A 17,449-nucleotide genomic window follows, 5' to 3' on the forward strand; every position below is an offset into this window, starting at 1 on the left:
TATTGTGTGTCAGTATAAGAAATGGCCATCTATATAGAGTCTCTTCATTTTCTAGAAAATTGTCCTCCAAGATAACATAATTGTTTAATTTCTTTTTTTTTTTTTTTTGAGAGGGAGTCTCACTCTGTCACCCAGGCTGGAGTGCAGTGGCGCAATCTCGGCTCACTGCAAGCTCTGCCTCCCAGGTTCACACCATTCTCCTGCCTCAGCCTCCCCAGCAGCTGGGACTACAGGCACCCACCACCATGCCTGGCTAATTTTTTTTTGTATTTTTAGTAGAGACGGGGTTTCACCGTGTTACCCAGGATGGTCTCGATCTCCTGACCTCGTGATCCTCCTGCCTCGGCCTCCCAAAGTGCTGGGATTACAGGTGTGAGCCACCGCGCCTGCCCTTAATTGCTTTTCTTAAATTGAAGTTTGCTCAATACATTTTTATTAGAGTTCAGTACCAGGACGTAGTGCTCTGTTTTTGGTGTGATGGCTGGAATGTTTTCTTTTATTGAGTAGCAACCTGTTGTATGTTATATTTTGCTTAGACTTCCCAGAAACCCAAAGCTAGTTTTATGTGCAGTCGTTTGTCATGTTTTAGACTAGTCTTGTTTGGTCTTTTTTGATTTTTTTCTTCCTGTCCCTTCTTAATTTTTCCATTTTCTTTTCTTTTCTTGGTAAGAGGGCATATTTTCTTTTTCTGTCAGTATCTTGGCTACTAAAAAATATGTGTGTGTATGTGTGTGTGTGTATATATATATATATATATATATATATGTATATATATTTTTTACAGTGAGCTCTCTTTTATGCTATTCTTATGCTATTTGGAAGTGTCATAATAATATTAAGCTGGGTAAATTGTATAGGAAGATTTATGGATGTTTTAGGAGTCTCAAAGGCTTATTTACAGAAGGTTTTGGCAGATTCCATTGATTATGTACATGTGTCATCTAGGTTTTTAAATTTTGAATAATCATCATCCAATTCAGAAATGTTGAGACCCATCTATTTGGAAGGCATATGTTTTAGCTCAGTAAACAAGTCCTGGAGATTTTTAAATCTAGATTTTAAAAAAAATCTTCTGTATTAGTCTATTTTCACACTGCTATATGGGAAGCAAGGACCTTCTTCACATAGTGGCAGGAGAGAGAAGCACAGAGGAGGAACTTCCAAACACTTATATTAATAAAACCATCAGATCTCATGAGAACTCACTCATTATCATAAGAATAGCATGGGGAAAACTGCCCCACATGATCCAATCCCCTCCCTCCCTCTAGATGTTGGGATTACAATCCCTCCCTTGATACATGGGAGTTACAATTTGAGATGAGATTTGAGTGGAGACAGAGAGCTAAACCATATCATCTTTTCTTCTGCTCTCACTGGTATTTTAATAATTCAGACCTTATCTGCTAGAAATGTTTTTTTCAGATGAAGGGGTTTACTTATATATGCAAGTCCACCCTTCCATTCCTCCTCATGCTTTTCTGAAGTGGTTCTCACCTTAGGAAAGCTATCTCCTTCTCTCATGAGTCTACTCAAGTCTTACCCATCCTTTGAAACCTAATTAATTCTATCACTTTCTAATGCCCATTTAGGTCCAACTAGCAGAAATAATGCATTTATCATGTCACTGATCTGGCAATTAAAGCATTCAATATCTTAGGATATTTCTTACTCTTTTTCCCTGAACTTTTATCTAAATTATATACTCACATTTAATTTTTACAAACTTTTGCCTGGTCTTAACCTAAATAGTTAGCTCTTTGAATGGAGGGACACTATTTTATTTATTTATTTATTTTTATTATTATACTTTAAGTTCTAGGGTACATGTGCACAACATGCAGGTTTGTTACATAGGTATACATGTGTGATGTTGGTTTGCTGCACCCATCTACTTGTCGTTTACATTAGGTATTTCTCTGAACACTATCCCTCCCCCAGCCCCCCACTCCACAACAGGGCCCAGTGTGTGATGTTCCCCACCCTATGTCCATGTGTTCTCATTGTTCAGCTCCCACTTATGAGTGAGAACATGTGGTGTTTGGTTTTCTGTCCTTGTGATATTTTCCTGAGAATGCTGGTTTCCAGCTTCATCCATGTCCCTGCAAAGGACATGAACTCATCCTTTTTATGGCTGCATAGTATTCCATGGCATATATGTGCCACATTTTCTTTATCCAGTCTATCATTGATGGGCATTTGGGTTTGTTCCAAGTCTTTGCTATTGTGAATAGTGCCACAATAAACATACGTGTGCATGTGTCTTTATAGTAGCATGATTTATAATCCTTTGGGTATATACCCAGAAATGGGATTGCTGGGTCAAATGGTATTTCTAGTTCTAGATTCTTAAGGAATGGCCACACTGTCTTCTACAATGGTTGAACTAATTTACACTCCCACCAACAGTGTAAAGGCATTCCTATTTCTCCATCCTCTCCAGCACCTGTTGTTTCCTGACTTTTTAATGATCACCATTCTAACTGGTGTGAGATGGTATCTCATTGTGATTTTTATTTGCATTTCTCTGATGATCAGTGATGATGAGCATGTTTTTATATGTCTGTTGGCTGCATAAATGTCTTCTTTTATGAAGTGTCTGTTCATTTCCTTTGCCCACTTTTTGATGGGGTTGTTTGTTTTTTTCTTGTAAATTTGTTTCAGTTATTTGTAGATCCTGGATATTTGCCGTTTTTCAGATGGATAGATTGACAAAATTTTCTCCCATTCTGTAGGTTGCCTGTTCACTCTGATGATAGTTTCTTTTGCCGTGCAGAAACTCTTTAGTTTACTTAGATCCCACTTGTCAATTTTGGCTTTTGTTGCCATTGCTTTTGGTGTTTTAGTTATGAAGTCTTTGCCCATGCCTATATCCTGTTTAATCCATCTTGAAATAATTTTTGTATAGGTCTAAGAAAGGGATCCAGTTTCAGCTTTCTACATGTGGCTAGCCAGTTTTCCCAGAACCATTTATTAAATAGGGAATCCTTTCCCCATTGCTTGTTTTTGTCAGGTTTGTCAAAGATCAGATGGCTGTAGATGTGTGGTGTTATTTCTGAGGCCTCTGTTCTGTTCTATTGGTCTGTCTCTCTGTTTTGGTACCAGTACCATGCTGTTTTGGTTACTGTAGCCTTGTAGTCCAGTTTGAAGTCAGGTAGTGTGATGCCTCCAGCTTTGTTCTTTTTGCTTAGGATTGTCCTGGCTATACGAGCTCTTTTTTGGTTCCCTATGATATTTAAAGTAGTTTTTTTCCAATGCTGTGAAGAAAGTCTTTGGTAGCTTCATGGGGATAGCATTGAGTCCATAAATTACCTTGGGCAGTATGGCCATTTTCACAATAATGATTCTTCCTACCCATGAGCATGGAATGTTCTTCCATTTGTTTGTGTGTCCTCTCTTATTTCCTTGAGCAGTGGTTTGTAGTTCTCCTTGAAGAGGTCCTTCACATCCCTTGTAAATTGTATTCCTAGGTATTTTATTCTCTTTGCGGCAACTGTGAATGGGAGTTCACTCATGATTTGGCTGTTTGTCTATTATTGGTGTATAGGAATGCTTGTGATTTTTGCACATTGATCTTGTATCCTGAGACTTTGCTTAAGTTGCTTATCAGCTTAAGGAGATTTTGGGCTGAGACAATGGGGTTTTCTAAATATATAATCATGTCATCTGCAAACAGAGACAATTTGACTTCCTCTTTTCCTAATTGAATACCTTTATTTCTTTCTCTTGCCTGATTGCCCTGGCCAGAACTTCCAATATTATTTTAACAGGAGTGGTGAGAGAGAGCATCCTTGTCTTGTGCCGGTTTTCAAAGGGAATGCTTCCAGTTTTTGCCCATTCAGTATGATATTGTCTGTGGGTTTGTCATAAATAGCTCTTATTATTTTGAGATATGTTCCATCAATACCTAGTTTATTAAGAGTTTTTAGCATGAAAGACTTGAATTTTGTCAAAGGCCTTTTCTGCATCTTTTGAGATATTCATGTGGTTTTGGTCATTGGTTCTGTTTATGTGATGGTTTACGTTTATTGATTTGCATATGTTGAACCAGCCTTGCATTCCAGGGATGAAGCCAACTTGATCATGGTGGATAAGCTTTTTGATATGCTCCTGGATTTAGTTTGCCAGTATTTTATTGAGGATTTTTGTATCAATGTTCATCAGGGATATTGGCCTAAAATTCTCTTTTTTGTTGTGTCTCTGCCAGGCTTTGGTATCAGGATGATGCTGCCCTCATAAAGTGAGTTAGGGAGTGTTGTGGGAAGTCAGGACCCCAAACGGAGGGACTGGCTGGAGCCACGGCAGAGGAACATAAATTGTGAAGATTTCATTTTAATATGGACATCTATCAGTTCCCCAAATTAATATTTTTATAATTTCTTGCACTTGTCTTTACTGCAATCTCTGAACATAAATTATGAAGGTTTCATGGACATTTATCAGTTTCCAAAATTAATACTTTTATAATTTCTTATCCCTGTCTTTAATCTCTTAATCCTGTTGTCTTTGTAAGCTGAGAATGTACATCACCTCAGGACCACTATTGTGTTAAACTGTACAAATTGATCGTAAAACATGTGTGTTTGAACAATATGAAATCAGTGCACCTTGAAAAAGAACAGAATAACAGCAATTTTAGGGAACAAGGGAAGACAATCATAAGGTCTGACTGCCTGCAGGGTCCGGCAGAATAGAGCCATATTTTTCTTCTTGCAGAGAGCCTGTAAACAGATGTGCAAGTAGGGAAGATATTGCTGAATTCTTTTCCTAGCAAGGAATGTTGATAATTAAGACCCTGGGAAAGGCACGCATTCTTGGGGGGAGGTCTATAAATGGCCGCTCTGGCAGTGTCTGTGTTATGCGGTTGACATAAGGACTGAAAGATGCCCTGGTTTCCTGCAGTACCCTCAGGCTTACTAGGGTGGGGAAGAAACCCCACCCTGGTAAATTTGAGGTCTGACTGGTTCTCTGCTCTGAAACCCTGTTTTCTGTTGTTTAAGATGTTTATTAAGACAGTACTTGCACAGCTGAACATAGACCCTTATCAGGAGTTTTTGACTTTGCCCTTTGCCTTGTGATCTTGCTTTGCCCTTTGCCTTGTGATCTTTATTGGCCTCAGAAGCATGTGATCTTTGTGACCTACTCCCTGTTCATACACCCCCTCTGCTTTTGAAATCCTTAATAAAAACTTGCTGGTTTTGTGGCTCAGGTGGGCATCACACACCTACCAATATGTGATGTCACCCCCAGTGGCCCAGCTGTAAAATTCCTCTCTTTGTACTCTTTCTCTTTATTTCTCAGAACAACTGACACTTAGGGAAAATAGAAAGAACCTACGTTGAAATATTGGGGGTGGGTTCCCCTGATAAGGGAGGATTCCAGAAGGACACTATTTTATACTGCTTTGGATCTCTTCGTATTGCCTGAGTAGGTTCTCCACAAATATTATTTAAAATTTAACAATTTGCTATTACTCTATTGAGAATGAGTTTCTTTGTTTGTTTGTTTTCTATTTAGATACAGGGTCTCATTCTGTCATCCAAGTTGGAGTGCAGTGGCATGATCACAGCTCACTGTGACCTTGAATTGTGGACCCAAGCATTCCTCCTGCTTCAGCCTCCTGAGTAGCTAGGACTACAGGCATGCACGAACACACCTGGCTAATTATTCTATTTTTTTTGTAGAGATGAGGATTTTGCTATGTTGCCCAGGCTGGTCTAGAACTCCTAGCCTCAAACAGTCCTCCTGCCTTGGCCTCCCAAAGTGCTAGGATCACAGGCATGAGCTACTGCACCTGGCTGAGTATTGTTGTTGTTGTTTTAAACATTTTATTTGGTCATTTTGGAAACTTAATGTCTACTACATTTATCATTATAGTTTGAAAATCTTTACATCTTTTATATAGAAAACATTATCTTTTTAAAATAGGAGGTTTAAAATATTTCAACTTAAGAATATATTAAAGCTAACCCATATTATTAAAATGAAAATGATAAAAATATCTATGTGAACATGGCCTGCATTTTACCCAAATGTAATCTAACACTTTTTTTCTTTCTCTGTAGGAGGCGACTAATACTAATGGAGTTCTAGTTATATGCTAGGCACTGTGGAGGCCTCTTTATTTTATTGATTCCTTATCATACTCTTTTTGGAGGTATGCTAGAAGAGTCTTTGACAATTCTACCTCTCAGACTATAGGGCTTTCTTTACCATTTGCCTTGTGATATTCCTTGGCTGCTATAAGAACACGGCACTAGAAGGCTCGCTTTTCTATTTTTCTTAATGTATACTTTAAAGATTTTATCAAGTGGAGGAAACGAAATAATGAGCTATTTTCTGATCTTTGTATCTTCCACTATGGTCATGATAATTTTGACTTGCTTGTCACCAGTAATATTTTAATTAAAAACTAAGGGAGCCTTCCTCTTATTGCCCCAAACTGGCTGGATCTCATCATTGTCAATCATCTCAGTTTAAAAGAAGGTGGGCAGACCTGCCTGAGGGGAAGTAGCAACCAAGTCCTATTTGTAGAAACTGTTTGTAAACAAACACTATTTTTGTCTGCCTTCCTAGAACGGGGGGCAGGGTATTTATGACTCAGTATATAAAACATTTTGAGGGAGGAAACTTCAGCCATTGCTAACTAAAAATTCAATGTATGTATTTTTTGTGCTTATTAATGCTATCTTGAATGGAAATGAAAAAAGAACTTTATTGAAAAAATAACCTCATAGATATGTCTCTTAAAGTTCTTAACTTTTCACTCACTGTTTTGTAAAAACTAATAATAATTTAGGACTTGACAAAAGCAGAATGAAATCTCCCCAGACTTTAGCCAAAATTTCCCCACGAACAGAGATTCTTAAATATCTCCTTTTCACACATGAGAAACCTGATGTTCAGGAGAGTTAAGTTACTTGCCCAATGTCTAAGGTTAGAAATGGAAGTTGTGTCTGTTTCTCTCTACTAAGGCTTAGCTGCCACATCTATTCATTTAAATGCTCACAAACCTTGATGTTCATATAAACTTCAGAATTATTATATACATTTCACTTTCTCTCCGAGTTTCACTTATAATTTAGCAGGTTGTACTGAAAAGCATAGAAGACTAAACAAGTAAAATGTGTGTTCCTAGGAATCATAGCCAGTGCCTACTTATCTTTTACTTTTTATGACTATTATAAGTTCATAGAGATAGAGAATCTAATACACATGTAACTACACCTCTATTAATTATCACAGTGGGATTGAAAGTAGTGAAATAAAGCCTAAAGCTTATTTTTTTCCTATGAAGAAAGCATGTGCATTGCTTGCTGTGTTCCACATGGCCAAATACACCTGAAAAACAAGTATTTGAAAACAGGAAAACACAGTAATAATTCCTGACACTGCCATCTACTGTGTGTTGGACCAATTTCTCTATTATTAGGAAAACCAAGGACTTGGCTGGAAACCATCCCATGTGTTGGAAGGGCTTGAAGAATTGAACATCTCCATTAGTAAGAATCAGTTTCAATGGAAATCAGGGACTGGTTGGACCATAAAGAATTGTTGGCATGAGAAAAATGTTTAAGTAGTTTGAACATTTGCCTGTTTCATGCAAAATGACCATGTGTGTGGGTTTCTTTATCTTATGGAATTAGAAATGAGTGAAAAGAAAATTATACTATGAATGGAAAAAATGTGAAAACAAAAAAGGAAACATTTTCAATATTTGCTGGGTTAAAAGTAAAAAACTCACACATTATGGAATCTAACTTGCTATATGTCATTGGTGCACAATAGCTAGAATTTAGTATTTAAACTAGTCCATGAAAAAAGCAATTTACCAATAATATGAGGAAAAAGTAAACTGAGAGGAGATTTTATGATTTAGGAGAGGTTATATGTATAGTTGTAAATCATAAGTTATAACAGGAAAGATAGCTATAACATAAATGAGCAAATAAGCAAGACTTGAGTATATGAGAAAAGTAACTGGACATATTGCCTATCTTGCAAAATGTGTGAACCAGAATTCTTGGTATAATATTTTAATGAGTACTCTGGATTCTAAAGTATTCTAACCAAATTGTTATTTTATAGAATATCAAGGTATATCTTTGGTTAACTTTGTGTTAGAATTCTATGTGGATGTCACCCATTTTCTGGCACCTTTAATGAAATCTTCTAGACTTTCTTTCTGTAAAATCTCATTACTCTGACTATTCCAATATCTATGTACATATGTATGTATGTATGTATATCTATCTATCTATCTATCTATCTATCTATCTATCTATCTATCTATCTATCTAATCTTCTATCTATACATCCATTCATCTATCTTCATCTGCCCTCTATATAATCTATTTATATACATCCACACACCCACACAAATTTTGGGTTAATCTATCTTTCAAACTTTCACTGTCTGAGCCTTTAAGCATCAAAACTGTGGCTTGCCCTATTGTTAAATTCACTAGCCCTTACGTTACTTGTCATATTATTTATTTCCATTTCTAAAAGCTATTCCTTTGGGAGTTATAAAGGTACTCATCTTGGTTAATTTTTGAGTACTCTGCCTTTCACTAAGGAACTATTCTATGAAAACCATCATAATCAGTTTTTATTATTGCTATTAAGTTTAAATATTTAACCGATTTTTTTTTTTTTTTTGCTCTGCACTATATGATGGATGCTAGATACTCAACAGACATGGTCACTGCCCTCAGTTCTATGAAAGACAATCAGGAAAGGCTTCCCTAAATTAGCAAGGTGAAGTGATAGCACCTGGTATGGAGGAGAAGATGAAAGCATTCTAGGCAGAGGGAAGCAACACAAAATCTCTACTCCAGGAAAGAGTGTGGCATATTCTAGGAATTAAGAAACACAATTTCTTAAAGATCAAGATTGATCCCTAATGTCACTATGAGAGACTGATTTATGTAAGCCAGATACAAAACTTCATCTCATTATTTCATAATCACACTCTTAAGACATGATTAAACATTTTTTCCCATAAACTACTATTATTCTAACCCTCAAATGTCTTCCATTTATTAACAATTTTGACTTTTGGACAGTTAAACCTAAGTAGAATATCAAGGAATATAGGAATAAAATGTTTGCATTAATATATTTGATAAAGTGATCTAGAAATATTATTTTTTTCTTACACATATGAATATGATACTACAATAAAACATCCAAATAATGCAAAGGTGGATATAGCACAATTGGTGATTGACTCCTGTACTCTTTTTATCCCAGCCTCTGTTTCTAAAATAGGGAAGAGAGAGCTAAAGCTTCATCTTCTGGGTGGTGGGTGAGGCAGGATAGAGAAATAGTAGATAGTCCAGTCTCAGGAAGCTAGGATATGGCAGGTGGGTCCTTATGTCCCTTTATTTTCCTGGCTTAATCTCTCCAACTTCCTTAACTGGGAGTTTCCTGGATTCCCTAATGCTATTCTGGAAGTCCCAGCCAGGTATTAAAGAGAAGGTAGCTCAGATCTAGAAATACCATTATCCCTTAGCCACAGCCCAGCTTGGGAGCACCCAGAGATTGCTGAGCTCTTTTAGAGGCACTACCATAAGTTGCCCCAGTAGTTAGGACACTGTTGCTTCTTACTGTTACTACTTGACTTGGGGCCATTTCTCCTCTCTAATTTCCCTCTGAAGCTGATGGCCTTGTGATATTTCTGACAGTTTTGAGTGAGATGGAAAATACAGATAGGAGAGGCTCCCAGAGATGAAGTCTTGATCTGGAACTGAGTTATGAACTTAAGCTCACTTGACTTAACTGCATTTAGCACAAAACATTTAGAACATCTACACAAAATAGAGAATTTAGAGTTAATAAATTAAAGCAATACTAAAAGCCATATTTTTTGTACTACTGAATTTTAAGTACTAGTCTATCTGTGAAGTATAATGTCAAATATACTAGAAAAAGAGGACAGTGGATTTGAATTTTATTATATGTACTTTTTTACTTCTCAAAAAGAAAACTGACTTTGAAGTTCCTAATTTTAGTTATATTTGTGGACAGCAAAATGATTTGAAATTCTGCCTCACCTTGTTCACAGTAGATTCCAGTGGTTCCTAGAGGACAGAAACAGGTGTATCCATGAGGTAATGAAATGCAGGTTGCTCCTCTGCTACAGTGGTGTGGAGGGTCATGTTCAGGATCACAGGTAGAAACTGTCTCTGTGCAGAATGATCCTTTCCACCCAGTGGTACAATTGCAGCTGTGGGTTGAGAGAAAGCCGCATGGTTTGAGCACTTGTTTAGAGATGGATACATACTATGTATTGCCCTGATGCTAACTTGTCAATTTTAACTGAAGTTCCAAGAGATCAAAATGAATTGTGATTCAAACCCTAAATTGTCAAAGGAAAGAGTTAATAACTGGTTATAGGATTACTGGACTCCACACCAAAGACTTTAAACGATTCAGAGTGTAAAAATTGAAAGAGAATTTTTTGAGAATTGTTTCTTCAGACAAAATTGCATTGTAAGTCTCTCTCCCAACTCCCACACCACCACCTAAAGAAAAAGCTGTGCATGGTGTTGCTGTCTCCTAACTTCAAGCCTAGTGAAAAGAGATTCAGCAGGACCACTTGGAGAGCTTGGTGTGTTTTTCCCTGGCATTGGCAAACTCACAGGCTCAGCTCCTGGGGTTGCCAAAAGAGCTGCAAACATACTGGAGACAAGTCAAACGTGAGTGAATCCCAGGAAAGGGATGTTCATAGTCAGGAACAATAGCTTGAGGACATATAAAAATGAATCTTGACCAAGAGGTGTCCCTCTAGCTAAAGATACAGTGGCAGTAAGTGGTTTCTGGCTAGAGCAGAAGCTGAGGGGTAATGGGGAATACTCAGCTGAAAGAGACACCTTGTCTGGGTTTAGAGAGTGATATTGGGAGGAGCCCAGCAGAAAACTTTCTGATAGACCCATCAAAGGCAGAGTTGTCAGATAAAATGCAGAGCATCTAGTTAAATTTAAACATAAGTTAAATAATAACTTTTCTTAGTAGAAGTATGTCCTGATATGGTTTGGCTGTGTCCCCACCCAAATCTCATCTTGAATTGTAGTTGGCATAATCCCCATGTGTTGTGGGAGGGACCAGGTGGAGAAAATTGACTCATGGGGGAGGTTTCCCCCATCCTGTTCTCATGGTAATGAGTTAGTTCTCATGAGATCTGATGGTTTTATAAGGGGCTTCCTTCTTCAATGGGCGCTCATTCTTCTCCTTCCTGCCACCATGTTAGGAAGGACATGTTTGCTTCCCCTTCCACCATGATGTAAGTTTTCTGAGGCCTCCCCAGCCATGCTGAACTGTGAGTCAATTAAACCTCTTTCCTTTATAAATTACCCAGTTTCAAGTATGTCTTTATTAGCAGCCTGAGAACGGACTAATACATGTCCCATGCAATATATGAACTTTAAATAAATAATATTTGAGATTTTATTGTTATATCTTGTTATATATATATATATATATATATATATATATTTGATAAACTGTTGTTTGTCAGGGCACCGTGTGTTTATTTTGCCCCCTCCGGCCTCCCTCCCTCCCTCACTCCCTGCCTGCCTTTCTCCCTTTCTCCCTTTCTTCCTTCCCTTTCTCTCCCCACCATCCCCCTTTCTTTCTTCTGAAAACACTACACTAAAGAGTACATGAGAGAAAGGGTTAACTTAAAATTCCTGTCAGAGCCAGAGAGCAATAAACCACCGTGCCAGTCTAAAAAGCGCATTCTAGAATGGGTATGAGGTATAGGGATCAGAATCTGTTAAGCTGGAGGACAGCAGCTGATCACACCTTCCCAGACCTTTTATTTATGTCATAGACTTTTATATGCTTGTTACACCTAAATTAATAGTTGTGCAAAAAACGGAAAATTGTATAGGGTTCTCTAAAATGGAGACAAACAAAATACAGAATTAATCTGCTACAAAATTGCATATTTTGAAGATTATTTTTGAAGATCACAAAGAGTATAGAATGTACAAAGACCTCATACACAAAAAAGGAAATCAGTAACTAATTTCACAAAAGAAATAAAACTATAGTAAAAATTCTTATTAAAGAATTTTTAAACGTGATGCTGTCATTACTTTTTAAAGTGACGATTGCGCCATCTAGTGGTTCATTTTATATCTACTTGAAAAAAGCTTAAAATTATTCTCACTGCCTTATAGACAGAGCTCACAATGGTAAAATATTTTATTTAATTCACTTACACTTTATTGTATATATTTAAGGTATATAGCATAGTGTTATGGGAATAAAACACTTGCTTGGATATTAAAGTAGATAAATCACATTAAGCATAATTTAATATAGATGCCAAAATCTTATTTGAAAAAATAACAAATCGGAGCCTCATATAGTTTGTCTCAGAATTTTTAGGTCTGAAACAATTAGCTATATGTTTAATATATAATTAGTTATTATATAATTCTAATGAGAATGATTTTGTGCAAGGTCAGATTTTTCTTTTTGTTCCTTGGTTTCTATAGCACCCTGTGAAATAGAGATAATAAAAAAATTTCAAGCCTTCATTAGTTATTCTCTACTTTGGGTGATATTTTTCTAACCCTTGATGTTAATTCATTAATATTTCTTCCCTTAACCACATATACTACTCTGCCCTGAGGAGGAGTAGATTTTGTAGAAGTATGTGTGTGAGGTGAGGTGTCTATATAATGGGCAATGTAAAAACAAAACAGAGGTAGGTATCTATTTAAAGAATGTTTATTATTTTTTACAGGCTAGCTGTCTGTGCTTATCTTAGGATTGAGCATAGTATTGTGCTTGATACTGAGATTCTACAACACAGGAGGCTCCATTTTTGACCTCATGGACTTCTGTATTTTGGAGAAATCAGATTAGTAAGGAGACAATTTTAATAAAATGGGACAAGTTCTAAAATGGGTATTATGGTATCCTGTGGATGGGCATCTAAGTAATTTTAGTGAATTACTTAGGGAAGGCTTAGGAAAGGCCGCCAGAGTGAGATTTGCCCGTATAAATGTATGCACTGAAAGGAGGTGTCAAAGGACTTTGAACAGCAGGCTCAGGCAGTTCAACTTTTTTTTTTTTAAAACTATTTATTAACTTTTGTGGGTACATAGTAGGTGTACATATTTCTGGGGTACATGACATGTTTTGGTATAGGCAGGCAATGTGTGATGATCACATCATGGAAAATAGGGTATCCATACCCTCAAGCATTTATCCTTTGTGTTACAAACAATCCAATTATACTTCCTTAGTTATTTTAAAATGTACAATTAAATTATTATTGACTATAGTCACCCTGTTGTGCTATCCAATACTAGTCCTTGCTCATTCATTCTCACTAGTTTTTTGTACCCATTAACCATCCCCACCTCCCTGTTACCTACCACCGTTCTCAGCCTCTAGTGACCATCCTTCTGCTCTCTATCTCCATGAGTTCAACTGTTTTGATTTTTAGAACCCACAAATAAGTGAGAATATGTGATGTTTGCCTTTCTGTGCCTGGCTTCAGTTCAACTTTCAAGTGACATGACAGGTGTATAGAAAATGACACAAATGAGGAGGCACATTTTAAGAATATTGATCTGTTATGTGTAGGATGACTGCATAGTGTAACAATAAGCTCTCTGGTGACGTAATTTTAATCTTAGTGAGATCTTAGCATATTTTTTTTGCTACTAGAAAAGGGGCCAGCAACCTTTTTCTGTAAAGGGCAAGGCAGTTTACAGTTTTGCTTTGTGGGCCATATAGACACTGTTGCAATAACCGAACTCTGCCATTGTTGAAAGCAGCCACAGAAAACACACAAATGGGTGTGGCTGTATTCCAATGAATTTTAGTTACACAAATAGGTGGTAGGCCAGATTTGGCCCATCTACCATAGTTTTCTGACCCCGGCACTCTAGACCATTAATTCCGTAAGAGCAGAGATAGGGTCTGTTTTGTTTTTTATTATTGTCTCAAGGCCCCAAACAGTTCTTGGTTTATTGTAAGTTTTCATTGACTATTCATGGAATAAACACACAAATGAATAAATATAATAGGTCATGGCTGGGATAAGAAAGCAGATGGAGGCAAAAGTCCTGAATAGGAAAATTGCTGTGGGGATGCAGAGGTTGAAGTAGATGTGAGAGGCATTTTCAAGGCTTTGGTAAGTGTGTTAGTATGAAAGAGGAAAAATTATAGTAATGACAAACATTATTTGTCACTTACCATGTGCCAGGCAGTCTTCTAACCTTTCTAGTTTCTCTATTATGTTATAAGAAGGGTACTAGCATCATCCTCATTTTTCAGAGAAGGAATCTAAGGAAGAGAGAGGTTAAGTCTGCTAATGAGCGAGGAAATCCACCTTTTAGTCACCATTTTATGTCTCTCAATCCTGTGGAAATGTTGGGACCATGAAAGAGTATGGTGTTGTTAGTGAAATAGGGACAACTGGATAGCAATATAGTAAAGGGAAAACATAAAGAATCCACTTTTATAAGCTTTATTCCTGGGATGGAGACTGGTTCAACATACACAAATTGATAAATTTGATTCACCACATAAATAGAATTAAAAGCAAAAACCATATCATGTCCTCAATAGATGCAGAAAAGACTTTGATAAAATTCAACTTTCTTTTGTGTTAAAAACCCTCAACAATTAGGCATTGAAGGAACATACTTCAAAATAATGAGAGCAGTCTATGACAAATCCACAGCCCAACATCATCCTGAACGGGTGAAAGATCGAACCATTCCCCTTGAGAACTGCAACAAGACAAGGATGCCCACTCTCACCACTCCTATTCAACACAGTAATGGAAGTGCTAGCCCAAGCAATCAGGCAAGAGAAAGAAGAAAAGATATCCAGATAGAAAGAGAGGAATTCAAGCTATCTCTCCTTGCAGATGATACTATTCTATACTGAGAAAATCCCATGGCCTCTGCCAAAAGGCTCTTAGAACTCATAAATAACTTCAGTAAAATTTCAGAATATAAAATCGCTGTACAAAAATCAGTAGCATGCCTATACACCAATTACATCCAAGGTGAGAACCAAAGCAAGAATGAAATCCCATTTACAGTAGCCACAAAAAGAATAAAGTACCTAGGAATACGGAACCAAGGAGGTGAAAGATCTTTACAATGAGAATTACAAAACACTGATAAAGGAAATCAGAGATAACACAAACAAATGAAAAAAGATTTCCTGCTCATGGAAAGGAAGAATCAATATGGTTAAAATGGCTATACTGACAAAAACAATTTACAGATTCAATGTTATTCCTATCAAACTACCAACATAATTTTTCACAGAATTAAAATATTCTAAAATTCATATGGAAACAAAAAAGAGGCTAAATAGCTGAAATGATCCTAAGCAAAAAGAACAAGGCCGGAGACATCACACTCCCTAACTTCAAACTATACTACAAGCCTACAGTAACCAAAATAGCATGGCACTGGTGCAGAAACAGACACACAGACCAATGGAACTGGACAGAGAACATAGAAATAAAGTCATACACCTAAAAGCACCTGATCTTCAACAAAGTCAATGATAACAAGCACTGGGGAAAGGGCTTCCTATTCGATAAATGGTGCTGGGATAACTGGCTAGCCATATGCAGAAGACTGAAACTGGACCCCTTCCCTTCATTATATATGTTATGAAAATTAACTCAATATGGACTAAAGACTTTAAGATCTAAACCTATAAAAACCCTAGAAGAAAACCTAGGAAATACCATTCTGGACATCAGGCTTGGTAAAGAATTTACGACTAAGTCCCCAGAAGCAATTTCCATAAAAACAAAAATTGACAAGTGGGACCTAATTAAACCAAAGAGCTTCTGCACAGCAAAAGAAACTATCAACAGAGTAAACAGACAACCTACAAAATGGGAGAAAATATTCACACACTACACAACAAAAAAGGTCTAATGTCCAGAATCTATAAGGAACTTAAACAATTCAACAAGCAGAAAACAGACAACCCCATTAAAAAAATGGGCAAATGACATGAACAGACACTTCTCAAAAGAAGACATACATGAAATCAACAAATAGATTAAGTAATGCTCAACATCACTAATCGTTAGAGAAATGCAAATCAAAACCACAATGAGAAACCAACTCACACCAATCAGAATGGCTATTATAAAATGTAAAAAAAATGACAGCCATTGGTGAGGTTGCAATGAAAAGGGCACACTTACACATTGCTAGTGGGAATGTAAATTACTTCAGCCATTGTGGAAAGCAGTGTGGAGATTTCTTAAAGAACTTAGAACGACCATTCAACCCAGCAATACCATTACTGGCTATATACCCAAAGGAATATAAATCATTCTATCAAAAAGACATATGCATTTGTATGTTAACCGCAGCACTATACACAATAGCAAAGACATGGAATCAACCTAGATGCCCATCAACAGGGTACTGGATAAAGAGAATGTGGTACATATATACCATGGAATACTACACAGCCATTGAAAAAATGAAATCATGTCCTTTGAAGAAACATGAATGCAGCTGGAGGCCATTATCTTAAGCAAACTAACATAGGAACAGAAAACCAAATACTGCATATTCTCATTTATAAGTAGGAGCTGAACAATGAGTACATATGGACACAAACAAATGGGAACGATAGGCACTGGGGACTACTTGATGTAGGAAGGTGGGAGGGAATGTGGGGTGAAAAACTACCTATTGGGTACTATGCTCACTATCTGGGTGATGGAATTATTTGTACACCAAACCTCGGCAACACACACTTACGTAACAAACCTGCACATGGACACCCTGAACCTAAAAGAAAAGTTGAAAAAAACCCCACTTTTAGCTAGACTGCATTGAAGGTAAGAGTAGGTGATAAAATAGCTTTTTTTTTTCTATAAGCATCTAGGGACATGGCTCATAAATTTGATGATAGTTCAGGACATAAGGCAGATTTAATTAAATAGACTAGCAGGCAAAGAGCTGGGACACATGCACCTGGCATACAATACCTAAGACTACTTAAATTATACTGAGGAATCATTAACATTATACAGAGCACTGTTTTCTTATTTCAAGACCATTCAAAAAATGTTATGTATCCTTAATTGTCAGTACAAGGAAAAATTTGTGGGTTCTTCTGTCTCCAAACATAAACAGATGATAGCAGAGAATAAAATGTTAAACACTTTGGAAATGTGATTAATAGCTCATCATGATAGTAAATCAAGAGATGAATATTAGAGTATGTTCTTACTAATATAGTTAATTATTTTACTTCTGTGCATTTAGAATGAAACTCATTTGAATTCCTAAATTGCAGATAAATTGTTTAGTTCTGACCGTCAATTTTATAGCTTAGAACTTCTATGGGTTAATTTTTCCTCATTACTATAGAAATTCAACATGAAGATTTTAATTTTCTTGTACTTAGGCAAGTCTAAGACTGT

At 36.7% G+C, this 17,449-nt stretch overlaps 1 protein-coding gene across 2 annotated transcripts in view; it reads right to left on the reverse strand.

Moving 5' to 3' along the window:
* The window catches only part of EYS (eyes shut homolog), a 1,987,247-nt gene that overhangs the window by 32,423 nt on the left and 1,937,375 nt on the right, over positions 1–17,449 (reverse strand). For both annotated transcript variants that reach the window (NM_001142800.2, NM_001292009.2), the window contains exon 41: positions 10,059–10,231. In NM_001142800.2, coding sequence (NP_001136272.1) covers positions 10,059–10,231 — 173 coding nt within the window. The remainder of the gene's footprint in view (positions 1–10,058; positions 10,232–17,449) is intronic.

This window comes from Homo sapiens, chromosome 6 (genome assembly GCF_000001405.40).
Source record: "Homo sapiens chromosome 6, GRCh38.p14 Primary Assembly".
NCBI classification, from domain to species: domain Eukaryota; kingdom Metazoa; phylum Chordata; class Mammalia; order Primates; family Hominidae; genus Homo; species Homo sapiens.